This window comes from Homo sapiens, chromosome 14, assembly GCF_000001405.40.
Source record: "Homo sapiens chromosome 14, GRCh38.p14 Primary Assembly".
NCBI lineage: Eukaryota > Metazoa > Chordata > Mammalia > Primates > Hominidae > Homo > Homo sapiens.
Window position 1 is genome coordinate 59,325,793 of NC_000014.9, and position 26,476 is coordinate 59,352,268.

At 40.2% G+C, this 26,476-nt stretch overlaps 1 protein-coding gene across 5 annotated transcripts in view, besides 2 other annotated features; it reads left to right on the plus strand.

The window, feature by feature from the left end:
- The window catches only part of DAAM1 (dishevelled associated activator of morphogenesis 1), a 182,739-nt gene that overhangs the window by 137,126 nt on the left and 19,137 nt on the right, over positions 1-26,476 (plus strand). For 3 of the 5 annotated variants that reach the window (XM_005267431.2, XM_005267430.3, NM_014992.2), the window contains 9 exons: positions 168-285; positions 718-856; positions 1,141-1,199; positions 4,709-4,896; positions 5,417-5,716; positions 6,021-6,128; positions 12,593-12,622; positions 14,282-14,388; positions 21,747-21,831. In XM_005267431.2, the coding sequence (XP_005267488.1) occupies positions 168-285; positions 718-856; positions 1,141-1,199; positions 4,709-4,896; positions 5,417-5,716; positions 6,021-6,128; positions 12,593-12,622; positions 14,282-14,388; positions 21,747-21,831 (1,134 nt within the window). The remainder of the gene's footprint in view (positions 1-167; positions 286-717; positions 857-1,140; positions 1,200-4,708; positions 4,897-5,416; positions 5,717-6,020; positions 6,129-12,592; positions 12,623-14,281; positions 14,389-21,746; positions 21,832-26,476) is intronic. The other 2 variants (XM_047431135.1, NM_001270520.2) reach the window with 1 other exon arrangement.
- Positions 4,774-4,823: an enhancer, noted in NCBI's record as "active region_8459". NCBI's record gives its function as "activates an Ori minimal core promoter by ATAC-STARR-seq in GM12878 lymphoblastoid cells {active_cell/tissue: GM12878}" and the evidence as "EXISTENCE:reporter gene assay evidence [ECO:0000049][PMID:35858748]".
- Positions 5,226-6,034: an enhancer, noted in NCBI's record as "NANOG-H3K4me1 hESC enhancer chr14:59797736-59798544 (GRCh37/hg19 assembly coordinates)". NCBI's record gives its function as "activates a minimal SCP1, AML or CMV promoter by ChIP-STARR-seq in naive H9 embryonic stem cells {active_cell/tissue: H9 hESC(naive)}" and the evidence as "EXISTENCE:reporter gene assay evidence [ECO:0000049][PMID:30033119]".

Genomic DNA, 26,476 nt, shown 5'->3' on the forward strand with positions numbered 1-26,476 from the left:
TGTGTTGTAGAGTCCACATGGACTTTAGGGCAACCTAAAAGCAAACTCAAAGCTCTATTTTGTTTCCTAAGTGGCAGGATTAGCTTCTGTTTGCTTTGAGTTTACTTTACACTGGGGAAACTGAGGAACTTAGATGTTTGATTTGATTTCTTTTTCCTGTGAAATAGGTTCACATAGACACAAAAAGTGCAACTCAGATGTTTGAGCTGACCAGGAAGAGGCTGACACATAGTGAAGCTTACCCGCATTTCATGTCCATCCTGCACCACTGCCTCCAAATGCCTTGTAAGTGTGTTCGTGACTCACATGTGTGCTTCTGAATGTTTGGACATTGTCCTAATGGGTTCTGGCTCCTGCACAGTGCTGATTACATTGGGTGCACACCAGGGATTCCAAGCCTTGGTTTTATGACAGCCAAGTATGTGTGTCTACATGGCTTAAAGGGTGTTACAAAATTTTTTAAATGAAACAAATTAAAATTTTGATTTTAAAAATAAAAAATATGCCTTACAACCTGTTCAGAAAGGGGTAGAGGGTACCTCTCAATCAAATAAATGATCATTGCATGTCAAAATTCCATAACTTTGGGAAGCATTGGTGCAGATGTTATAAACATCTCTGGTTTGGTGGCTTTAAAGGGTGACCACCATTGACAAATATTCATCCTAGCTTAGAAACAACTTGAAGATTTTTTTTCACTATTCTTTTCTTTTTTAGACAAGAGGAGTGGCAACACTGTTCAGTACTGGCTACTACTAGATAGAATTATACAGCAGATAGTTATCCAGAATGACAAAGGACAGGACCCTGACTCCACACCTTTGGAAAACTTTAATATTAAGAATGTCGTACGAATGTAAGTCTCTTCTTATTCTGCTGCTGTGAGATAATGGTGACAATGTAAGATATTTATTTTATCCTACTTCAGAGTAACAGCTGGGAGAGCTGAAATGTTCTAGGGGTCAAATATGAGTTACTGTACACATGCACTATAGCTAAGTAACATCTGGTCTTAAATGGGTTTCAAGCATGCACTGAGGATTTTCTCTGCAGTAGACTATTTTTGTACCTGGGGAGAATGCAGTTAGCAGTGGACCTTTTATATTTTTTGTAATAAATGCTCCTTGAACTCTTACACAGGTTGGTTAATGAAAATGAAGTTAAGCAGTGGAAAGAACAAGCGGAAAAAATGAGAAAAGGTAAATAATGAGGCCCTGATAAGAGGCTGTGTTATTGGTTATTGGGTGACCTTGATTTCCATATATTTTGGAAATTTACATTGATGTTTCTTGTTAGCTTGGTGCAGGCAGCCTTTCTTTTTCCATCTTTTAAGGGCATTTTGCACTGAGTTTCTTAAATTGAGCTATTTTAGTTGTCATACTGATTCTCAAATATTTTATCCTTTTATTATAATCATGTAAATGTTTTGAAAAGCTTATAGCATTTGCTGTTCAGTATTCCTTAAATCAAATTTTCTTAACTACTAATAATTCAAACCCTTCCCCTACTCCGTCATGGCTCTTTAAATCATACTGGGTTTTAAGAAATGTAATAAGGGACTTGAGGAATTATCCAAAATTTTAAAAGAGAAGAACAGGTCACTTGGTTTCTTTTTTTTTTTTTTTTTTTTTTTTGAGATGGAGTCTTGCTCTGTCACCCAGGCTGGAATCAGTGGCGCCATCTCGGCTCACTGCAAGTTCCACCTCCTAAGTTCACGTCATTCTCCTGCCTCAGCCTCCCGAGTAGCTGGGACTACCGGCGCCCGCCATCACATCCGGCTAATTTTTTGTATTTTTATTAGAGATGGGGTTTCACTATGTTAGTCAGGATGGTCTCAATCTCCTGACCTCGTGATCCACCCGCCTTGGCTGCCCAAAGTGCTGGGATTGCAGGCGTGAGCCACCGCGCCCGGCCTACTTGGTTTCAATAACCCAATTCTGTCCATGACCTTGATTTGGTACCAGTTATAAAAAGAGAAGTCATTCAGAAAATCAGTGACCATTGCTGAGATATGTGTTACGAAACATTAGCTGGCCAGCTATTAGTGTGTATTTGAATATGTCTTTGATATTATCTCTTAGTATCAAATGATAGGAGAGACATTTATGTCCATCAGTGTACCAGCCATACAGAGAAATGTATGTAATTTTCCTTCCTGTTTTAAAATATTAACAAATTGAAGTTGGCCTCTTTGTGGAAATAATCATACTGCCAGCTACCATGCTCTCACCATACTGGTTAACTGACTTCCTTTTCCTTGTCCAAGTTATTCACTCACAGCCAATGAAATACAATAGCATTCACCCCAATATTTAATGTGCTGAAAAGCAGGTCCCAGAGATGCCTAAGCATTTCCTTTTCTCTCATCACATTTCCACTGAGCAGAAAAGCAGGGCCATAACTGATATCAGAAAATACCAATTGTGAACTAACTACTGTTATGTTACGAGTTCCTCATATGTATTCAGATTGCTCCCAAATAAGTGACATTGCACATGCATTTTAAAAAATAAATTTCAGAAACTGCTACAAAAATGATAGAAACATTGACTAAAAATCAGGGTAAAGAGATTAAACCAAAGAGAAAATAGTCAATGAGTGGATATTTTAGGAATACACTCTAGAGCATGGAGACTCAAGTGTGCAGGTTGAGGAGAGCACTTAGGATGTAAGCTTTCGAGTCATTCATTCATTCGTTCATTCAGTGAATACCTGTTGAATGCCTGTATGTGTCAGGCACTGTGCTGAGCTCTGGGTCTGAGTCTCAGCTCTCCCCCTTTCTCACTGTGTGGATGGGCTAAGTGATTTCCTCTCTTCTCCCCCAGTCTCGACCTTTGCAACCTGAGGATTAATCCTGACTCACAGCGTGGTTGTGAAGATTAAATGACAAAACAAATATAAGATCATTAGCATAGTGTCTGGCACATACTAGTTGCACAATAAATGATAGCCACTGTTGCAGGATTTAGGTGGCTGAGATGGTACAAAAGAAAATCACCAATGTCAGTGGGAGGAACAGGTTGTTTTAGTGTTTTAAAGTGAAATGATGGGTAGAGTCTAAAAGAGGAAAGATTATAGTTAAATGTTAGTTTTTTTCTAGAAGCTTCAGGTGGCAAAATTGTATTCAAGAGGGCATATTTTGTTAAAATAGTCCAAGGGTAGAAGTGATAAGGAGACAGAAGTTCTGTGGACCTAAAATGTAGAGAATATTTGGGGAGAATTCTCTTTAGGGCAGCACACCCAGGAAGTGCTCAATAAAAGCTTAGTGACTGAATGGTAAATAGATACCATTTGTGGAGAGAGTCATTTAGGCTGGAGCTTCCCAAACCTGGCATACATCAGGATCATCTAAGCCCTGTAGTCGACCTACAAAATAGACTTCTTGGAATAGTGTCTGGGGAGTCTTGAAATGCTGAAAGTTCTCAGGTAATTCTGAGACACAGCCAGCTTCATCAAAAGCTAATGACCAGTGAGAGGAAGGCAAGTTTCTAGTCCTGAAATTGTGAAAGAAGAATGAAATGGAGATAAAAGAAGGAAAATGGGATATAGAGAGGTCATTTTTGGATGTATTTCTGGAGAAGTTAGGGAGGCAACAACAGAGTGGTAGAAGTGGATTGCTGACAAAATCCAGGGATTTTAGTGGCTTGAACTCCTCTCTGTAAACTCTAATTTGGGGGAACTCAGGAGAGAGAAGGTCAGAGACAGAGAAAACAAGAATTTAAATGTGTTAGCAAATTCAGAAATAGAGACCAGCTCTATTAGTATAGCTCGGCCCCAGTGGGTTATACCTCTAGTGGATTTATTGATATAAAAAGAATAGGAATTGGGGACATGTATTTGAAATAAAAATCCGCAGCCTAAACTTTGTTAGTTCTCTTTTCCAAAACTCATCACTCCTTTCAGCAAGCTTGTATTCATTGGCAATGTGAATATGCATTATGCTGAATTGGATGCCCTGTTTTATTATAGCAGGATTGAGGAAGTCAGTAAAACTACAGCTAAGAGTCAATATTTTTCTCCCCTGTGTTACCATGATTTTCGCGTTCTACTGACCCCACTCCCCTTAAGATATTTAATACTGAGATGATAACATTTGCTTTCATATGCCTTAATAATTGTTTACTGAAAGCATAAAATACTTCAAGTAGCCTTCTGAGGGGAGATGGGAGAAGTGATTCCATCTGGGGACAAACCCTGGGTCTGACAGCAGCTCTTCCTCACAGGTGAGACCCTCCCTTCCAGCCCTTCGGCTGGTTGGATGTGAGCTGGCAAACCTAATTCATAAAAGCTGAACTACTCTTTGTCTCACTTCTAATTTGTGAAAAGAGGCCATTTGAATATTTATTTTTTTCCTTGTATTGCTAAAGGACCATTTTAATGACAAGATTCTGAATCAACTACCAAACAGTTACCATTCTCCTCCACAAGAAGTCACTCAAACTTTTGTTCTGTGTTTAGAACTGTGAGTGTAGGCTCTCTTCTTCAGTCTCTTACGTAGTTAATAATAACATTGTTCATCCGAAGCCCACTCCAAGCACAAACATCATTTAGCCTTTGAGTTGCTCCCTTTGATGGAGAAGAGGAATAATATTTACCTAATAAAGATCCTCATAATCTCTGCCATCATCCTCAGTCAATTTTCTTTTAGAGAAAATGCTTCAGCTTTGAAGACTCTCCTGTTTTCATGTCCAATTGTTTTCTCGTGTAGAGCACAATGAGCTACAACAGAAACTGGAAAAGAAAGAACGAGAATGTGATGCTAAGACTCAAGAGAAGGAAGAGATGATGCAGACCTTAAATAAAATGAAAGAGAAACTTGAAAAGGAGACTACTGAGCATAAGCAAGTCAAGCAGCAGGTGGCGGACCTCACAGCACAGCTCCATGAGCTCAGCAGGGTGAGGTCTTCCGCTCAGCTCACGGGCAGCTGCCAAGGCCTCACTGACCCTAGAGCCCCTCACCCTTAAGTAGAGAACTTCATACTGGGGGAATAAAATCTGAAATGGCTCATGATTCATCACAATTAGGAGACTCACTCCCTCTGCTATCATGTAGGCAGCAGAGGCTGTTTGGGGGTGCATTTTTAAATACTGTACAAATCTAAGAGCAAAGGAAATTGCATTAGCTTCTTAAAGTGAAAACTGACTTCATGAAAACCAGACTGTCTGTGATGGTGCAAGAAGTGAGAGAGATATGAATGCATCCCAGACAAGTACTTGAGTGTCAGGTACAAAAGGTTGATGCACTGGAGTCCATAAAGGCCCAAAAGAGTCCATTCGACTTTACCGATCCTTTAAACATTCTCAGAAGGGTGAATTTCTCTATAATAAACATTTTAGGCCAAGTTACAGACTCTTAAATCATTCAATGAATTTACTTCTTCCATTGATCTTTCTTTTCCTATTTTTATCTTTTCAGAGGGCCGTCTGTGCTTCAATCCCAGGTGGACCCTCGCCTGGAGCACCAGGAGGGCCCTTTCCTTCCTCTGTGCCTGGATCTCTCCTTCCTCCCCCACCACCCCCACCTCTACCAGGTGGGATGCTTCCCCCTCCACCGCCTCCCCTCCCTCCAGGTGGCCCTCCTCCTCCCCCAGGGCCTCCTCCCTTAGGGGCAATCATGCCACCTCCTGGTGCTCCAATGGGCCTAGCACTGAAGAAGAAAAGCATTCCTCAGCCCACAAATGCCCTGAAATCCTTCAACTGGTCTAAACTGCCCGAGGTGAGCCATTTGTTCCAGTTTTCCCTTTAATGGATAGCATTAGCAGCTCATTGTGTTATCACTGAAAGGGAAAACAGCCCTGGCTGTTAAATGATTTCATTTTCTAATGTGGACCAAGAGTTCTCACTAGCTCAGATATTTAAGTGATAAAGCTTCTGAAATAAATGACACATTGTTTGAAACCCGTCACTTTGAGTGTCTGGTAGACTGAAAAATTTGGGATAGAAGCACTTTTTAAATAACCATCCCTGTTCTTTTTATGTATAACTGTAAACTATAGCACTTATTACATTGATGTTTCTAGAACAAACTGGAAGGAACAGTATGGACCGAAATTGATGATACAAAAGTCTTCAAAATTCTAGATCTTGAAGACCTGGAAAGAACCTTCTCTGCCTATCAAAGACAGCAGGTAACAGCATATGCCCTCCAGACACCAAAAAGGTAGAAAAATCATGTCTTATGCATGATCTCTGGCCCATCAGCCATGGCCGTGATGTGACCGGCATATGAATTCTAGGCTGTTGGATCTACCCTGTGCATGTCCGTGTCTCCGTCCAAGTGCCTGTTAGTTGTATGTGAACAGTCGAAGATATATAAGCTCCTTGTTAGGGAGTTTCATATCTGGTATATGTCTAAGACCTTGTCTCTATTGGTGTAAAGAGTTTTGTATGCTGTCACTTGTATTTAGTCAAAATGGTTCACCAGGAGAAAGTAGAAGAGTTAAGTAACTTAAATTGTCACCCCACAATGTTTGTATCTAAAGCTATTTTGGTTCATCTGAATTTTTTAAAAATACATATCAAATGGTTACCATTTGAAGCAGAATTCTTTGTGAAATGGATGGAATTTTTAGAAGTATGGAGGTTTTTAAATGACTATAATTTGGCCAGTAGATGGAACTTAGGAGTTTTTACTATATGTCATGAACAGAAGTGGGGTTGTAAAGACCGAGCAAGTGGGGAGATGGTAATGGTGCAAATAGGACCAGAGACGCTACTGAAAAGTGAGCAAAGCTTTTGTAATAGTAGCAAAAACATGTGATTTGGTGCCTGCTGGCACTCCACATTGACAAGGCATCACTATGTGAGCCCCAGTCACATCTGTGTGGTACCTCTTGTTCTTCAAGAGGGCATCGTGATACAGCCTCTTAAAGTTAGACCAGAAGAGAACACAGCAAGGTGGCCAGGTCTGGAGAGTTTCAGAAGAAAAAAGAAAAGGTGGAGTAGGATCCCAAATAATCAAAGCCTTGAGAAGAGAAAACTTGAGTCCAGTAGTGTGAGAAGAAAGATTCTTAAGTATGACTGAAGAGGTGGAATGATGGAGAGAGCAGAGTTCATCCTAAACAGGAACACACGAATGCTGGGCCTCTTACGGGGCTTTCCTTGGGCTTTACTGAGAGGCCCTTAACTCCCAGATGAATCATGGGTGGAGCATCCTTAAACAAGCAGCAGACTTCCTAGTTGGTTTCCTTGGCTTAGTCCCCAAGAAAGAGTGTATCAGAAAAGAAATACTGAGCACCAAAAGAGTAGATGGACTCAGGCTAGGGGGAGAAACAAAAACTAAGGGTTTCTTGTTTCATTTTGTTTTGTTTTTCAAAATGGCCTTTGATACATCTGAAATGGGGGGGAAAAGCCAATATTTAAATGAATATTTTTCCTTAAGAAAGGGAAAGCTTTTCTGCAATGCCTTTTATGCTACTTTAATAAAATACAAAAATAGAGGCGGTTGCCTGCCATAGTGACATGAACCCTTAAAACAGGAGCCCTCAGCTGCCCACCCCTACTGTAAGTAGAAAGGCAAACTTGGGCAATGCTATACACACCAAATAAGGGAAGATGAAAAAAACACAATGAAGATAAGGCATTGGCCAATAGAAAGCAAAACAATTTATCCTTCAAAGGACAAAAGTTGTCTTTAGAGTCCTCACGTGGCAGGGACTGTGACCAGACTCATTCCTGATTGGCTGCAACATGCTGCCTCTTTCTCTGTCTGCTGTCCTGAGAAGGTGTCTCCTTGGCCTTGACATGGAATCTTGATCCATTTTAGCAAATTTCCTGATAATTCAAATAATCTTCTAACCTGGCTACATGTCCCATTGCTTTCCCACTTCAGTTTTGATCGCTGATACTGTTCCATGCTGGTTGCCTAATATGAAGATTTGAGAACGTAGAGAAGTAAATTAAAGGAAGGAAAAGCAGCAGTTGTTCCAAATGATGCTATTCAAGTCTGAGCATGTGGGTTGCATTTATTATAAAGGCAGGTGGTTGAAAGACCTAAGTTTACAAGACTCATAATTAACTGGCTTTCAGCAGAAGGTGCAGAAGGATACTGCCAAAATGCTCTGGGACAAATATGTGGACAGTTCTCAAGAGCTCTGGGAGACAAGATTGCAGAAAGCCTAGCAATTGGGTAATTGTCTCCTAGCAACCAACACTGTTTAAGTAATCAGTATGCATTCCAGTCAGGAGAGTCCAGAACATTTCAGTTATACTTAACACTAAGTAGACCAGTAAGTAGAATCAGTTGTGACCATATTTTCAATAGCACTTCCTGGAGAAACATTTCAGCATACCTGATCAGCTTGAGTAATTCAAGTAGGTTTTCTCTTTTGGTGCAAGAATTTGAAATGAGAATTTTTTAACTGTAAATATATTTTCTAAATAAGGATAATTTGAGCCATTTTATTGAAATTACTGAATTCTGATAGAAAATCCAAAGATGTGGACACTTTAGTTGGAATATATAGGACACAGTAAAGAAAATGGGTTGCCTGTCATTAAATGTCCCCTTATCTCATGACCAATGGAAATACTCAAGACCTATGCATTTTCATTTCAGTCTTGGCAGTGCATTATATAATTCACTTGAACTGCTCTCTTTTCTACTCGCAAATGAATACTCGGGATCTATTTTTTTCCATGATGTCTCCTTTTTCCTCCCTCCAGAGTCATGACACCCTGTTCAAACTCTCTGGACTTCAGCCAGTTGTTTGGCTAGATACAATTCTCAGAGAGGCAAAGGAACATTACAAAGGTAATGGCATGAATACCATTACCTGTATGCATGCAACAGGAACCCTGCACAGAGTAAGATTTTGGAAAAATCTCAGTAGTGTCGGATTAGTATAATTTAGATGAATACTGAGAAATGACACTTAGGGGATATATACAAACATAAGTGTATATGCACACACATATATGCTTACACATATCTGCATAAAATATATCCAGTTGATGTGAGGAATCATTAAAATGAGAACTTATATTGTCTGCTTTGTATACAAAGTACTTCAAAGGATGAAAATGTGTTAAATTTTTGCACAGGCCCACAGTGTAACTTACAGTATAAAAGCAGAGATGAGAAAAAGCTGTAAATAACTATAATATGGACTACAAGATGATAATATTAAGCATCCATTACATTCCTGATGCCAAGTATGATATGCACAGTTCCCAATCTCATCAACCTTAAGATTTAGTTCTCAATGGAGCTCTTATACTTATTTTCTTCCTTAATGCTCACCCCCAACTCTATGAGTAGATATTCATATTTTATAGATAATAAAAACATGGCTTGGTGTGTATTTAGTAACTCCAAAGGGACATAATTCCCAATTTCACTTTGCTCTTCCCCATGGTTTTTACTCATTATAAATGTCAGACTTTGTATAGGATTTTCTTTCACTCCAGCTTTAAGAACAAGACTACTCCTATTCAGAATTTTTTTTCAGTGTAAATATCAAAGGTGTGCAGAGCTGATTATGTAAGCTTATGTGCCACATGAAATGGGATCTAATAGCAGGCAGTTATTTCTCCACTCACATTCCAAAAGTTCATTTGAAAGTCAATGTCTTGAATCTCAGGTCCTCTTTTTCTCATTGAAACTACATTATACATGATTTCCAGGTCAGCCACAAAAGACTGATTTAAATGGTAGCACATTGCATAGCAGTACTTTTCAGATACAATTAAACAATATTCATCTCCGTTTTATGGGAAATTTTCATCCCTAGATGCTATAAATTCATTTCTCTCTATCCATACAATTGAATAGAGGGGAAATGAGCTAAAGGCACTACATTTACCTAAAGGGAGTCATATCTCTGTAGCAACAAATTCACAGTTCACTATCTCTTCCTTCCCCCTGATCTTTGCTTGAGGACAGCCCTTCCTTAAGGATCCTATTGTCATCACATTGTAAAACTTCTCAAAGCCTCTACTCTGGGTTAGGAACAAAGAATAACGGTGGTCTCAGGCTCCAGAATCCAACCTCTCCTGCTTATATGTAATACACAAGACATTTTGGGGGCTCCATTTAGAGCATTCAATGATACCTTCTGATTTTTTATAAATTATCAAAGAATTTTCCTTTTTTATTCTCTTTACAATTTTTATTCTATAGGTATAATTTTCACATTGAAAAATGTTATGATTTAAGATATTTATTTCAGTAGGCTTGATCCTTAGCCATGGCACATGAAAACAGAAGAGAGAAATATAAATAGTGGTGTTGTTTTTTTTTTTTCTTAAGACCAAATGTAAGTTCTGTAACTGAGCTTCATGATAAGAGTTAATCAGATGTGGGGTTTTATATAAATATAGTGTTTGAATTTTCCTGGATAGAGATTCATAATTTTTACCAGATTTACAAAAGTCTCAAAAAGATTAAAAACCATTCATGTAAAAGTTATGATTATCTGTGAAGTGTTGAGTCATTATCCCATTGTGGAATTCAATCTATAGCACTATCAGCACTGCTTCCTGAAAATGCAAGTCCCAACTTCCTATTTATACTCCAAGCCCTAAGCTTTATGCCAGAAATTGCCTGGAAAAACCAGACATCCTGTTAGGTGAAGCCAAATATAAGTGATTCTACCACATTTGACCCAAGCCAATTAGAAGTATCTTTTGTTACTTCTCTCTGATTTTTCAGTGAATAAGCTTTCAAAAAGAATGTTAACCTACTTGAAATAGGCCTGGAAGCATCATTATTTCTAACATGCCCCTTTGAATGAAACTCATAAGCTTTATGATTTTATTTCTAATGTGCCAAGTAAAGGACTTTTAAAAGAAGTGGAATCTTTAGGGTAATAATTGAAGAAACTCTTGCTTGGCATTCTTCATCCTCACCTCTAGAAAGAAAATGTATTACATAGTTATTAACTATTACACTTATTGCTGATGGTGGTCACAAATTGGAGATCTTGACCAGCTGTTTTTTCAGCTCAACTGAAAGCAGAGCCAAAGGGGAATAAGTGGACTTGATCATCAGGTTGAAAGATGAAATAATTGTATTACTGTAGCTTCCAAGTACTGAGCTCATACATATGTGTCAGATACCTATGTGTCAGGTACTATACACAACGCATTACGTGATTGTCATGTTTAATCTTCACACCAATCAGTTGTTAATTAACCACATTTTACAGACAGATAGACTGAGCCCCAAGCCACACACCCGGTAAATAACAGTTGCCTGATTCCACAGGCCTCTACACTAGAGGTCAGAAGTCTTAATTTCCTGCCACTGGGAACTCATAAAATAGGATGAGTTGCCAGTGAACTTCAAAAAAGTTTCTTCTTTGAGGGTCAGACAGTAAGAGCAGAATCTCTAAGTTCAACTAGCAACTCTCTCTTTAAGAGAAAAAAAATAGGTTAAGATGACTTCATGGAGTTCACTTCGCCATAGTCTTTTTTGCCCTTGAAAGGAAACTGCTTTTACAGGAAGAGTCCTAAGGAGCTTCAGAGTAGACAACTTGGCAGTTATAACAGAGACAAAAGAAAACTGGGATATCAGAGGAGTATCCATTGTTTTTTAAATGCCATTCTAGAAAAGCAGTCCCCCCTTGTATGGCTAGAGCAAGGGGAGGACACATTCTGTTTCTCACTAGAGGAATTGTGTGAAACAGCTCATCTGTGTAAAATTGGCCTTGGCAGTGCTGCTGAGACCAGTGAGACCTTAAGGAATCTGCTGAGCAAATGCTGGTTGTGCAAGCTGTTGGCCCGAAAACTGGGGCGTGTTTTGCACACCAAAGCCTTATTCATTTCAGCATTGCAAAAATATGCAACGTATGCTGTAACTTTCTCACAGCATGTCAGTTACCTCTTCCTCGTTCCCTTTTTCATTCCAAGTCTTTTCTAAAAACTATTTCCAGAAGAGACTGTTGACCTTGTATGCTTGAACAGTCCTGGGGCAGTTAGGACAGGGCCACGAATGGCTGCACAACACACGTATCACTGATTTTCTCTTAATTGCATGTTCTTTTTCCTCATACCTACCTGTAGCACCTACAGGCATTATTTGCACTTTATAGGGGTGCTGAGGGTTAATATTACTGACTTGAGTTGTTCAACCTGTCTTTTCTCAATCCTTCCTTATAACACAAGATGACAGGAGATTATTTTCATCAAAAAAAGTTTATTTATTTATGTATTTTTGGTTTTCCTATTAACAGTAGGAATAGTTTCCTCAAGTTGATGGGATTGATTTTCTCCTGCTTCAAGTAAAATCATCATGTTGAATAAATGGAGCCAGTGGTCATTTCAAAGAGGATTTATTCCTTTCCCAGCTTGGGTCTTTCTCAGGTGTTTTAAGCCCTGTCTTTTCTGAATTTGATTTTCCACCATTGAAAATTGGGTACAGCAAATGTCATCGTCTTTCTCTACCCTGAATGCTTAGTATTGTGCTCTTCATGGTATTCAGCCAAATTTTCTCATCTTCATCAACTCTCATTGATGATCCCAGGGGCATAAATCATCTCTTACCCTACATCACTTGTTTCCTTGACTGCTTTGACTTTCCCCCATTTGTTGCTGTGACTTCTGAACTGCATATATCTGATTTGCCTTTTCCATGCCTCTGCCATGGCTGTAGGATTTCTTTGTGAACAGTAACTCCAAGCAGGTAAGTGAGCTACTACCTAAAGCTTGCTTAATATAACTCCTTGGCTCACTGTAAGCTTGAAATCTCTTCGTTATCCAGGGTTTTGTTTTTGTTTTTGTTTTTTTACATAGTGTAATCTAATGCCTAGGTAACTCCACTTTGGATTTCAACTCTTAAATGAGTATCTAGAGGTTCGCCTGAAATTTTAGCATGAGACAGTTGACATTTGATCACCTAGTGCCTCACAGTATAAATTCCATATTGCCTTTGTTTTCTAAACTGTTACACAGTTCTAGAGTTCTTTGGTTTCTTTACTTTTTTTTTAATGCTACCGTTATTGGTACAATAATTTATATAATTGTTTTTTTCCTCCTAATTCCTGAGTGGGAAATATATGAAAAAGGCTTGATGGTGTATATAAGACTTGGACTATTGTCTTCTGATAGTTATCAAGTACTTTTTATAGATTGCATAGGCTGCAGTTGAATTTAGATGCTTGATATGCTTAGTGTCTGAGCAAGCCAGATTGCAGTCACGTCACTACAAATTCATTTTCTTTTTAAGCTGCAAAAATTTAAACAGTAGTACAGACTCATGTTAAAAACAGCAGTCTGATCCAAGATTTTGTAGTTTGTAGAACTGATAATGTTAGATGTTCTCCATAAATTCACGAGGCTTAGTAGGAAAGTACGTAGAATTTTTAGAACTTAAACAGACTTTAGAGGTACTACTTTAATTCAGCCCCCTCATCAAATGAGGAAACTCTGTAGGTAAGTTGAATGAATAATTCAGCTAAGATTCTTTATCTTTGTGTAAAATGTAGATACAACTTTGCAAAAGAAAGAGCTACTTAATCAGTTTTCTTACATTTTTAAAACACTGTAACGTTTTTAATTGATTCTCACTGCTAATGAAATCAAACTTGCTATTTATCAAGTTAGCCTTGAACTTTTTATTATTACCAATACTCCTGATGCTCAGTTCACTCTAACAGTATATTATACATATTTTTGGTCTGTTCCACCTGAAATTATAACTGGCCATCATAGCTTACAGATTTCTATACAGCAACAGAATATGCAAGTAGCCTTTTATTGTTAGTTCAGGTAACTGAACTCATGCCTCAAACTGCCCCTTCCCATTGTCCATCAGGCTCTGGAGTAATGAAAGTTACCATCTGGCTTTGGGAGCTTCCTGTTGTACATGAAGATGTTTGGGAGGTTTTATCGTTTAGCTTTTTTGAGTGCTCACAATGCAGATGGTTCTGGGGTGAATGGGCCTTGCAAGTGGCTGGACCGGCAATGGCAAGCCTCAGCTGAGCCTGATTCATAGTGACAGTTCTTCTGTCTGCAATCCATAGGAATTTGGGGGACAAAAGGAGGGCACCACTCACTGATAATTTATGCACACTTAGCATCTTCAACTTAGAAGCACTTTGTTCTTCCAAATAATGCTTTTTCAAATGTGGGTGGTCAGCTTTTCTTATTATTTCCCTTTACCAACTAGACTGTAGCCTTTGTTTCAATTCCATCATTCTCCACACTTCCCACCATTTCAGCCTTGCCCATGTGTATACGAGTGTGTGTATGTGTATATGAACAACAATGTAAAGGAAAGTGTGTATCTGAAGTCTGAATGTCCCTGTTGGACTTTGATGGATTTCTTTCATGCTCTTTACAGAAAGAAGCAGATGCCATTGATGACACTCTGAGTTCCAAACTTAAAGTTAAAGAGCTTTCGGTGATTGATGGTCGGAGAGCTCAGAATTGCAACATCCTTCTATCGAGGTATTGTTGATGTTGAATAAACATTTCTAGTAGGACCAACATTTCCATTCTGTGGCTCAAAACCACATGTTAGTGATTTTGTTTTAATTGTACTCTGCTGAGGTACAGTTCTTTGGATCCCCTTCTGTTAAAATGAGAACAGCTCTTGGTGCTTACTTTCCCTAGTGGAACATATCAGAGCTGGATGCCTTCTTTCTCAAAGTTTAATTTCCACAGACCTCTAAATGTAAAGGCAGAACACCCTGAGTCAATCTTTTCTTCCCAGAAAGCCTGTAACATCGACTTGACTTTTATTTACACTTCTTGGCCTTAGAGATATTTTGGTCATTTAGTAGCATTGTCACAGAATCAGGACCAACAGATGAAGGCTCTTTGTTTTATTTTGCTTTCTAATGTCACCTTTTTTCATTTCAAGGTTATATGATTTCATGTTCTTTTTGAGCATTTTTATAGCTAAAAGGATATGTAAATCTCAAACCTCCGTGAAAAGCTAATTTATCCAGTTCAGCCCTGTTCAGAAATCTTTCTCATAATTAGTGAACCATCACAGCCTTGGAACTTGAAAAGAAGAAAGGAAATTTGGGAGCCTGGAATCTGATTGCAACTTCGGGCAATGTTGTCAGGTTTTTCTGGGCATTTCAAATAGCTTTTCTGTATCTAGTTTCTTCTTTTCTGTAAAAGGAACTTTCACATTAGGCAAAGATACCTAATGCTTATGGAGTGAGTGAAGATGTAAAGAATCCCGAGTTTGGGGCTTTAAAGATAAGTTACATTCTGGAAGGAATGTTGTATATGCATTGAGGCTGGTATAAGGTGACTTCTTTTTCAGGGACTATGAAGAGAGGGAAAGTAGTAGTCCTTATTATTTAGATGTTCTTAGAATGAATTTCTTTTAACACAAAGAGCTAGTGCTTGGTTTTCATGGAAGTTGATTCTTAGCCAGATATGTATTACTTCAGGGAGCAAATGTTTCTTTTAATGAAGAGAAATTTAACCTTAGTGAGATCTTTGAATTGTAATGCAACTAGTAAGGTAACCTGAACCATCCTGTTAACATTTTACTTCTGCCTCTGGCTGAAAGCTGTGTAAATGGCCGTACCCTGTGTTTATTCTGACTTTTGTTCCATGAACTATGCTCAGGTTAAATAAAATATCTATCTGCCTCAGGAAGCCACCACTTAAAATAACTTGAAGGTCTACTTATTTTTCTTCTACAGTAGTCCCCCCCTTATCCACAGTTTCACTTTCTGCGTTTTCAGTTACTCACGGTCCAGTACAACAAGATATTTGGAGGTAAACTGCATTCACATAACTTTTATTACAATATATTGTTTTAATTGTTCTATTTTATTTTTAGTTATTGTTGATCTCTCACTGTGCCTGATTTATAAATTAAACTTTACCCTAGGTATGTATGTATAGACAAAAAAAACATAGTCTATGTAAGGATCAATACTATCCACAGTTTCAGGCATCCACTGGGGGTCATGGAACATATTCCCCTCCAATAAGGGAAGACTGCTGTACAGTGTAAACAATTTGTTTTGTTACCTTTTTATAAGTAGTATTCCTAGTAGCAAAATTAAATTAACTTGGGGAAAGTTGTGGAGTTTTTTTTACATCCTAGAATTTCTCTCTATATTTTATGCTTGTGCCATCCAGATGAATGCTTTAAAACACTTGGTGAAGGGAGCTGTCACAGAATTTCTATAGTGTTGAAATGCCTTTAGAGTAAAAACTGTGACCTCGTTCCTTATTGACAGATTATTCAGTAGTACTAAGTACCAACCAGGGTAATTACACTAGATATAGATAAGGTTACATCTCTTTCTGGCAAATTTCCCATTCTGTTATTGAGGGAATTAGTTCATATTTGTGGTATGTAAATTCCCTTGTTGCCCTAGGCCCTGACACTTTTGAGGTGACTTAGAACTTGAATGTATCTAAACTCTCTTAAGACAGTTTTAAGAACTGGCCTCGTATCTGTCAGATTATCAATTAAAATCCAGTTTAGTGTATAAGTATTATTACAGTGAGCACAATTTAAAAGTGTGTGTGACAAAGTAATTTTGAGTCCCGTTTGACCTGCTGGCCATTGGGCTGCATTGATAAGGATCTGAAGCCCTCTCTCCCATGGATGATTCAGTGCCCCGTCCTTTTGTGCTCACTGGTCAGTTGTTTTACTCTCTCATCAGGAAAGCACAGAATGACATGTTAAATGTGGTACAAGTGAAAAAATTAGGCAGATTTAATTATAATTTGTATTTTATTTAGTTTTTTAACCAATCAGCAGTTTACTTTTCATTCTTCCTTTTTTGTTGGCAATTTATTACTATGCACAAAAGGAGCTGGGGACATAAAAGGAGAAAGAAGTAGGAAAACGTGTTCAATACTTTTTCTCTTAGTCACCACTTTGGAGCATTTTTTTGCCCAGCACCGTGCTGAGTGCCATAGGACATACCAAAAGTTAAGATAACGTTGCTGCCTTTGAAAGCACATGGCTAATTGGAGAAGAAAAATGACACCTGTGAGAAGATTTGTGCGCAGTTCAGGGCTTACACTGGTCTGACTGAAGGACATGGAGCCCGGCCATGTAGGAGGGGCACCAGCAGGGCTTATTGTAGAAAGTAGGCCTCAAAGGCAAAGACTGTTATATGACAAGAGGAGGGGCCGGGAAGGTGGTGTCAAGGAGGCGTGCAGCAGCAAAGATGTGGGAGGGACATAAGCACAGTTAGTAGAGAGCCCTGCAATCCCGGCAGAAAATTATCAATTGGATTGAATGAAACCAGGCAGGAGAGCCCGAAATTCAGGCATTGTGCATTTATAAGGGCATGAGTCAGCCCAGAATCACATCATAACCTCCTCATCTATAAAATGAAGATCATGAGGGTAGCAGCCCTGCAGCGGCTTGTGAGAATTCCTCCTAGGATGTGTGCAGCCCTGGGAAGGGTGCCTGCATGGGAGCTGCCCAGTCAGTGTCCTATTTATGTATCCATGGGATCAGAACTGGTGCCTTTTGTTCAGTAGGAGGACACTGTGTGTTTGTTTAATAAGGTTTTTTAGTTTGGTCTTTTGGTTTCGCAGGACAGGTTAGAAGGGGTTAACAGCTGGACCAGGGCAGCCATCAGATAAGGGCCTCTGTTGTCCAGGTGAGACCTGATGACTAAGGACAGCCTGGAGAGAGATGAAGAAGCCCTTGAAGGCTGATTTTATGCTTGGGGACAATGAATAGGAATGTTTCTATGTCAGCATTTCCTACCTTCTCACACTTACTATCTTTCTTTCCTGATTATTTCATTCCCAGAGACTGGTGAACTTCTCTATTTCTTATCTTGCTGTCTAGGATTTATCTCCTGGCAATGCCATCATTACACCAAAGTTCACCACAGTGAAAGCCTGTGGCGTATTCCATGGGCTGTATTTTAATGAACACTTGTGTTCACAGTATTTAAGATTATACCTTAAAGGTCTTCTTCATATTTTACAAATGTCAGTGGACCTTTTGGTCAGGGGCACCTGCCACAGCTTTCTCTGGAGCCAAGCAGGCAGTTGGAAAGAGGCCAAGGCAGGGAGGAGGTGCCAGCACTCCCCATGCCTGAGTGAGTAGGATATTTGCAGCATGAGTGACCAAATCATTCGAAGCTCTCAGAAAGAGATGGCCTAAAAGGTGTGCATTTGAATGGGGAGCTCCAGGGCACCAGGGACCATACCTTTCATGGGAAGAGAGTAGAATGGGCACGTCTTAGAGACGTTCCTCAGGTCCTCAGGGAATAAGCAACTTTTCTACTGGTATGTGTGCATGGGTGACATGTAGCAATTTAAAATTTACTCTGTTTTATTCCCCAAAACAGACCTCGCTGCCAAAGGCCTGGGGGTGGCAGCGGGGGAGACAGAAACTTGGAAGCAGGTTTATATTGCAAAATGAACCCACCTGAAACACAGTTTTATGAAGTGTTCTGCCGTTCTTTTTTTCCAGATGCTCACTTAGCACAGCAGCCTGGGTGTAGTAAACCACAAAAAGCTACTCTAAAGTAGGGGGATTTGGCCTAAATCCACTGAAGCAGAGCTAAGGCTGATCTAGCCATCCATCCTTAACTTATTTTAATTACGCCTGGATGTTCCAATTCTCTTGGCAAATTTTTGAAATACTTGAGTAGAGCAACCTGGAGTTTTGAATACTGTTTTAAGATGGCTGGTTTGTTTCCTGCCTTGTAAAGAAAGTTGGAGTAGATATCTCAAAAGTTGCCACCCTCTGGCACTTCAGAACACTGCCAAGCTTTAAAAGCAATTAATTACAGAGATTAGAGACTGATTCTGTGGATGACAGATGATACTAAGAACTCTGCAACCTATAGAACCATCCCTGAGGGCGGGGTACCTTTCTCCCCTTTCCCTTAAGGTAGGGTTTCTTTGATCCAACAGGACGCGTGCATAGCATTATGTTGACAGGTAGATTTTCTTAAGTGCTAGCCATTAAAGTCTCCAGTCTCTTTGTGGGCCACATTAAGAGAAACCAAAATTGTTTTGAATTAGAGCTAGTGTTTAGTCCAGACAGCCTCTGGGGGTTGAGGAGCATAAATATATACAATTTCAAAAGCAAGAAGTTCTGTGCTCCATATGGGGAGCTAATGAAATGCAAATCTGATACTTCAAGTATTGTTCTCGCTCTGATTTTCAACTCCTTTTCTTTTAAATGCAAAACAGAAGGACTCAGCAGAACTACACCATAAAATGGTTTCTTCAACTCGGTGTGAAAAGGACACAGAACTAATTTTTTTTTTTTCTTACAAGCAGAGCTCTCCTCATGATTATAGATGTTTTCACAGCCAGTTGGTTTTCATTAGTGGCAGTTTCAGCCCTCCCTATTGTTACTGTTCCTTGGCCTTGCATGGCCACACAATGGTGTTTGGACTTAAATTGACTCAAGGGCCTCTAGTGTCCTGGAGTCTAAGGCTACCCAGTTGAGGCCCTGATGCTGCGAGTCGGTTTTTCCCTGTTGTATACTTTACCCATGCCAACTTAGCTAAATTGTTCCATTTAAGTAGGGGGAATTTTCTAACGCGATATTCTGGGAACATGTTCATGAGGCAATGATTGTCCCAAGAATGACGAAAACCATCTGAAGAAGTCTGCCAGGACAAGGGCTGCTGTAACGGCGTAGGGGTTATAATGGCAACACAGCTCACATAAGGTGATAGAACGGGCCTTATTTGTCAGCTTAAACAATTTTGCATTTTGTCTAGATGCTTTATTTGGGTTTGAGAACATGAAATAGAAGAGAATGGTATGAGTACAGTAGGATTCCCAAATTTTTTCCTTCTCTTCCCTACTTAATGGCACATGAAATAACATTCAGTTTAAATAGCAAGGTGGATGGTTTTAACATAATCGGGTCCCAAATCTAGAGAAAAAGACAAGCCAGAGGCATCCTTGGTGGGGTGCCTCATCCAGCTTCACCTGGGGCTTCTCTTCTTTGCTGCCTTTGAGTGCGCGCTTTCAGTTGTTCAGCCCTCACCTTCATCTGCAAGCCCATGGGTGAGTGTGTGCTTTACACACCTTTGTGTCTTGAGGATTTCAGCATATCATCTGGTTCTCCCAATGACTGTAATCACTGTTAAAATAAGGACCTCATCTTCTATTTCCTTCTTAGTACTCCCAGGCCTCATGGGTGTCATACACAGAGAGGAAACACTGGTGAAATAGTGGGTATGACAGTGCTTTGGAAAGTGATCATAATTACCATACTAAGCACTGTTTAATGGGTTCTTAGCTGCATATGACCATTAAGGATACAAAGGTACTGCTACTTTGTTTTTCTAGTATAAAAAAGTCTGCCTTGCAGAACGTACATATAGTTTACTGTGTTCTTTCTATGGCCAGGAACTTTGCTAAGCACTTTACGTGCATTCATTTGCTTAATCCTCATGTGCACACATACAAACACAATCCCTTTTTTTTGGGGGGGGGGGGGTGCCTGGAGGGATGCAGTTATGTAGTTATTACTATCCTTGTTTTACAGATGAGGAAAGTGAGGCTTTATAAAAAATTTTTTGCTCTAGTCACACTGACCAGGAAGTATCGGAGACAGGACTGGGGCCCAGCCTGTCTTACACCAAAGCCCCTACTTCAAAAGTTGCATGTGACATGTGTACAGCTTGCTCTATATTTGTGTGTTTACATCTTTATCTCCAGTCCTAAATATGATGCTTTTTCAAGAGCATAGACTAAAAGAACAAATCAAGTCATGTTAATACGCCACATTAGTTATAGGTTGTAAGGAAGTAAGATTTTTAAAATAAGTCTAGACCAGGCATGGTGACTCATGCCTGTAATCCCAGCACTTTGGGAGGGTAAGGTGGGAGGATTACTTGAGGCCAGGAATTCAAGACCAACCTGGGCAGCATAGTGAGACCCCATTTCCATCAAAGAAAAGGAAAAGTCTGGGTCTAATGCTTACAAATTAAACAAAGGAGTGAGTCTCTTGTTGCAGCTAATAATGTGATCAAGATTTTTTTCCCCTGGGTAAGACTATTGTTATATCTAATAAAAATACATTTTAACATTATATTTTATATTTTACAGTCAATACTTTGTTGTTCTGACAATCAAGACACATATTCCTGATTAAATTAGTAAATCATTTATGTTGATGGTAGACAGAAAAAGAGAAAACAGATTTGTATTTTTGCTTAAATCCTTCCCTATGAGACATTAACTAGATAAGGAATATTTGTATAAAGAGTTTGAGATTAGCAATCAAGAGTCGTGGGTTTGTGGTTACTGTCGTTTTTTATGTCTGACCTCGGACAAATCACTTGGCCATTCTGGGCCCCAGTTTCTCCATCTATTAAAAAAAAGCCTTAACTATGAAGTACTTGCAGATTTTACTTTGCATATTATCTGTTGCTCAACTTTTTAACAATAACATGTAGTTTCTAAACTTCTCAAAATCCATTCTTTACTTGATAGCAAACTTTAAACACTCCTGACGTATAAACAGGTCAGAAACTTAATTCTGTCCTCCCGCCTGCAGTTCATGGATCCTAAATGTGAAAGAAAACAATTGTGTATGGGTATTTTCCCTAATTCTAATCTTCCAATCCCTTGCTTAAGGAAACTAAATCATAGAACATAGCAGCTTTGTCCTCTGTGTCAGCAGAGCATTACAAAGCCCTGAAAGAATGTTAAAGCAGTTTTAAAGTCCTATTTTTAGGTGCAATATTGTCAGGAAATAAGCTTTCACTGAGAGATTTTGAGAAAAAAGTACTTGAAAATCAGCAGCTGGGGTAGCAAAGTGAATTATGTTAAATTTTAATACTCAAACCAATATGGTTAATAACAAAATATTCTTTCTCCAGGTTGAAATTATCCAATGACGAAATCAAACGGGCAATTCTAACAATGGACGAACAGGAAGATCTGCCCAAGGACATGTTGGAACAGGTGAGCTACCAGATGTATCTGAGAGCAGAAGTGAAAAGCGACCATCAACAGGGAGAGGGATGTTGAGAACATCCGGTTGTTGCTAGTGGATCATTTCCTCATCTATGAATTGAGGAGGCTGAACCAAGTTCCCATGTGACTCTGTTAGGAAACTTAATGACCTTATTCTCTCATTGCCTCCCAAACTGATGGGTGAGAAAGAAGATCAAGTTTGTCAAATGCCTGGGACCCACAGCATCCCTCAAGCTGCAATTAAGTCATTATACCTCAGTAAATCATATAAATCTAGCTCTAGAAGAAAATCTGTGTTTCACAGGAATATCGAGAATCTCACTAGCACTGTGAGATTGCAAACCATACTACAAAAACTGATTCATTACTAAACTCTAAATGTAATTTGTGTCTTGGTCACCAGACCCACAACCATGAAAATGACCTTTAAACCCCTAACACTGTCATCTGTATCTAAATACACATACGTGTCACAAGACAGGTTGTAAATGTCTTGGGGCTAAGTCTTAACCTCCGTACATTGTACAGCCCCCTCTTGTGTCATAAATAGCAGTAAATTTAAATGCCAGGGGTAGCAAGAATGGGATTTACACCCAGTCAGATTACATCTTTGCCCATGGTATCTTGTTATAATTTTTATTATCCATGACCAAGCAGCCAGTATTTCTATAGCATTTCTTTGTAGCCTCTCCAACGGGATCATGGGCTGTTTGGCATCTTTGTCTGGTTGTCCCCAAATAACAATGTTGTTGATCTCGCACATATTCTAGGGATTTTCACCTGTCTCTGCCCCCTGCCCCTTGGTCTGGGCCTTAACTTTTCTGTGCTCTGTGGTGATAGTCTCTGAATGCTATAAGATCGTTCCATCCTTCTGTCTCATTGTTTTGGGGATGGGCTCACATTTTGAGTGGTTTTGGTCAATAAGTCCACGTTTGTTAGAGCCAGGTCTACCTAAGGTCAGCTGTGGGCACAAGCAACTATGATTCTAGACTGAACTCCAGGTTGCATCTGTAGGTGTGCCCTGTTCCAAGAGCAGAGAATAAGGGTATTTTGTGTTGTTAACAGTAATCCTGAGTGGTGAAGTTGCTCTGGGTAGAGTGCCTGTCTGTTTGCACGTGTGTTTTCCATGGTTCTCACTGATGTCCTCGAAGGTCTCAGACACCATGCAGGGAGGAATGATGTTTGCAGAGTCACTCCCTAATGGACCAGCCCCGCCCCTGCAACCTCTGCGGCTGGAATAGTCCTGGGGGAAATCCCTCACATTTGCCATGGAGAAACTCTTCATGCTGTCCTTTAAAGGTTTTATTTAATTATCAAAATAGTTAATGATTATGTTCTCAAGTCTCTTGGGGTTCTCTGTGTATGAACGGTTTAAAAGTATCTCCTGAACCCAAAATTTATTTTGAGAGCATTTTCTAGCTCCTTCACGTACCCTTCCCTCCCTTGCTGTAGACCAGTCACACAGAGTCTTTGCTCTGGGACAGTGGAGGTCTAGGCAGTGCTCTGCCCCTCCCAGGTGACCCTGCCTTCGAGTTGCTGCACCCAATGTGGTAACCCAAAGTGAAGGACTATGTGTAAAGCCACTTTAGTCCTCCTGCCTTCAGCTCCTATTGACAAGGTTGTATGTTTTAAAATTCCACAAGATCTGTTTACTGTGGAATTGCATCCAGCAAAATTCCTCCTTGAGGGAAAGGATTTCAAAATCTTGCCAAAAGGGCCTGCAGTGCAAATAGAGTGTGCTTCAAATAAATGCAAGAAATAAAACCAGTCTACTGAAGCAGAATCTGGACAAGTAGGATATTTTTTGACCTGGCCTGTCCTGATAATTCTGTGTGTGTCTTGCTCTCTGGTCATCTCCCACGCTCTTTCTTTTCCTCCCCATTTTACTATTTGTTCTTTACTTCCGTTTCCTCTATACAACACTCTTCCCAGACAAGTGTTGATGCCAGCATTTCCTTACTCCGATTTAGGATGTGCCTGGTGGCTGCTTTCATCCCCTCCTCTCTTGCTGCTTGCAGCTGCTGAGCTCTGATCTCAGATGAGAGAGAGAGCTATACGCTCTTCTTCCTCGGAACACATATCTTTATCCTTATTCCCAGATATTTGCTTGACTCCTGATCCTCTCTTAAAACTACCCACGCACAGTCCTTTACACAACTCTCCTTTGAGAGGGGACTGAGTTTTTAGTGTGGCTCCTACTGTGCACTTTTAGGTAACAAAAGAGATGTAGTGACTGTGTTATTCTGAACAGGGGACAAGTGGGCTCAGCACAAGTTTGCAGGGAGAGAGGGGACTGAGCAAATTAGTGAAAGGATCCTTGAGGCTAGAACTCAGTTTCCTTGCCCAATGGGTAAAAATCCAAGCTGAGGGAGGCTGGGGTGATGCTTTCCTCTCTCTTTTTCTTCCCTTCTTCTTGCCTTCCTCCCTTACTTCCCTGCACTGAGAAAGAACAAGATACATCCTGAACAGTGTCACCGTTTGAACTCAGGAACAGAAATGCCTAGAAGCTATCAGGCCCCCAGACCTATGAACTCCCTGGCATCTACTTCTGTCTTCCCCCACTTCCGTCCCATTAGGATGGAGGGGATGTCTCTTCCCTTCGCTCTGGCCCCATTCCTTTCTTCTAGTCAGGACCCCAGCTGGATTGACTGCCCCCTTCTCTATATCTGCAACCTCGCCCTCTCTACTCTTAGCTCATTCAAGTGTCAGCCTTTAGCACATAAACACACCCCTACATACAGCATCTGCACACATATACCACACATACACACCTACACACAGTGTGCATACACCCCTGCATGCACACCCTCATGCACACGCCCCTTACACACACACACACACACACGTCTTATGCACATGCCCCTCTCAAGACTCCACATCCCCATCTAGCTACTGTCTTCTCTCTGATGCAGCCAGAGTCTTGAAAGCCATCCACGCTCACTTTCTACCCACTCTGCTGCACTGTCCTCCTCCCCTCCCTAGAGCTCTTCTCAGGGGCACTTGCAACTTCCCTGTTGCCGGAGCCAGGGGACACTGCGGGGCCCTCATTTTTCTTAGTTTCTTGGGGGTGTTGGCACCCATGGCTGCATGCTGAAATGCTGTCTTCCCATGGCCCTGTGAGCCACGCAGGCCTCTCTGGCTGCATCTCCTTGGCCTCCTTTTGAAGGTTTTTCCTTTTCTTGTCCTGGCGCCTTGAATGCTGGTTCTCTTCAGCCCTGCTTTTTTTCTCTTGATGGCACCTCTTCTAATCTCACTGACACCTGTGCCTTCAGTAACCTACCTGTTAAAACCAATGCCATGCTTCAGCTTCCAAACACATCTTCCTAGGGCTTCAGACCCATTTGTCCAGCTGCCTACTAGAAATCATTACTTGCTTCCATGCAAACATTTTGAACATTAAACTCACCTTCTCCTCCCCATCCCGGCCCACCCTACCTCCAGCCTTCTCTTCCTTCAATTCATGTTCCCTGTTATGTTGTTGCCTAAGCCAGAAGCCCAGGCGTCATCTTTGACTCTTCCTCTCTCATATACCACAATCCATCAAGTCAAGCCAGTTCCATTTTAGTCTCATAAATAGCTCTAGAATCTGTCCACTAGCTCCACCCTATCCAGGCCACCATCATCTCTCACCTAGATTACTTACTATACCACTATCTAATCATTTTTAATCTCTTCTAATTCTTTTTCCATCCTGCAAGCACGGCAATTTTTTAAAAAAACGTAAACTCACTCTCCTACGTGAGATTTTTAAGGTATGTCCCAGTGCCCTCAAAGTAAAGACAGAACTTCTTATAAGGCCTTGCTACTCCCTGCCTTTGCCTACCCTGCCCTGCCCTCTCCCACTGATGTTACCACTGCCCTTCCACCTGCATAAGTGCTGTGCTGCCCGTTCCAGACCCCGGCACATAGTATACACTCTGCCTGGAATGTATTCCAGCCTCACACAACACCTGCCTGTAATTCCAATTCCCTCTCTCTGCTGATGACACCCAGACTAACTGCCTTTTCTGAGGTCCCTCAGTTAAATCCAACAAACATTTGAAAACCTACTAAATGGATCGTCTAATTCCAGCATCAAATTCTGGGGAGAGCCTCAAAGTCAAGAAGGTCAATGTTTTAAAAAAAAAAAAAAGTTAAGGGCATTTGATCTAGAAAACAGCATGAGTCCACAGGTCTTGCATACACATCCAAAACGTGTGTACCTTGAAAGGAAATCAGACACGTACAGAAGCACTGTTTCAGTTTTAAATATTTTACTATTTCTTCCACATCCCATGCTCATTTCTTCCTTCAAAATAAAATACGAAATTAAAAACATCAAATCCCACTGTGTTCCTCTCACCCAGCTCTGCATGGAAGGGGAAAAAAAAAGATTGAATTAGATAAACCAGAAAAATAAGAAAATGGAATGGAAACTACAAATGGAATTATTCATTCCAGCATGATGTAACAGAAAAAGGCACAGAGCTGGGAGTCAAGAGACCTAGGTTCTATTTCTAATCACTACCCACACTTGCTTTGTAATCCTGGGTGAGTGGCTTACTCTCCCTGGACCTCAGTTGTATCATATTCTGATGAGAGCATTGACTCCCTAAGGTCCTTCTAGTGGTCTGTGAAAAAGAGGTTCCAGTAG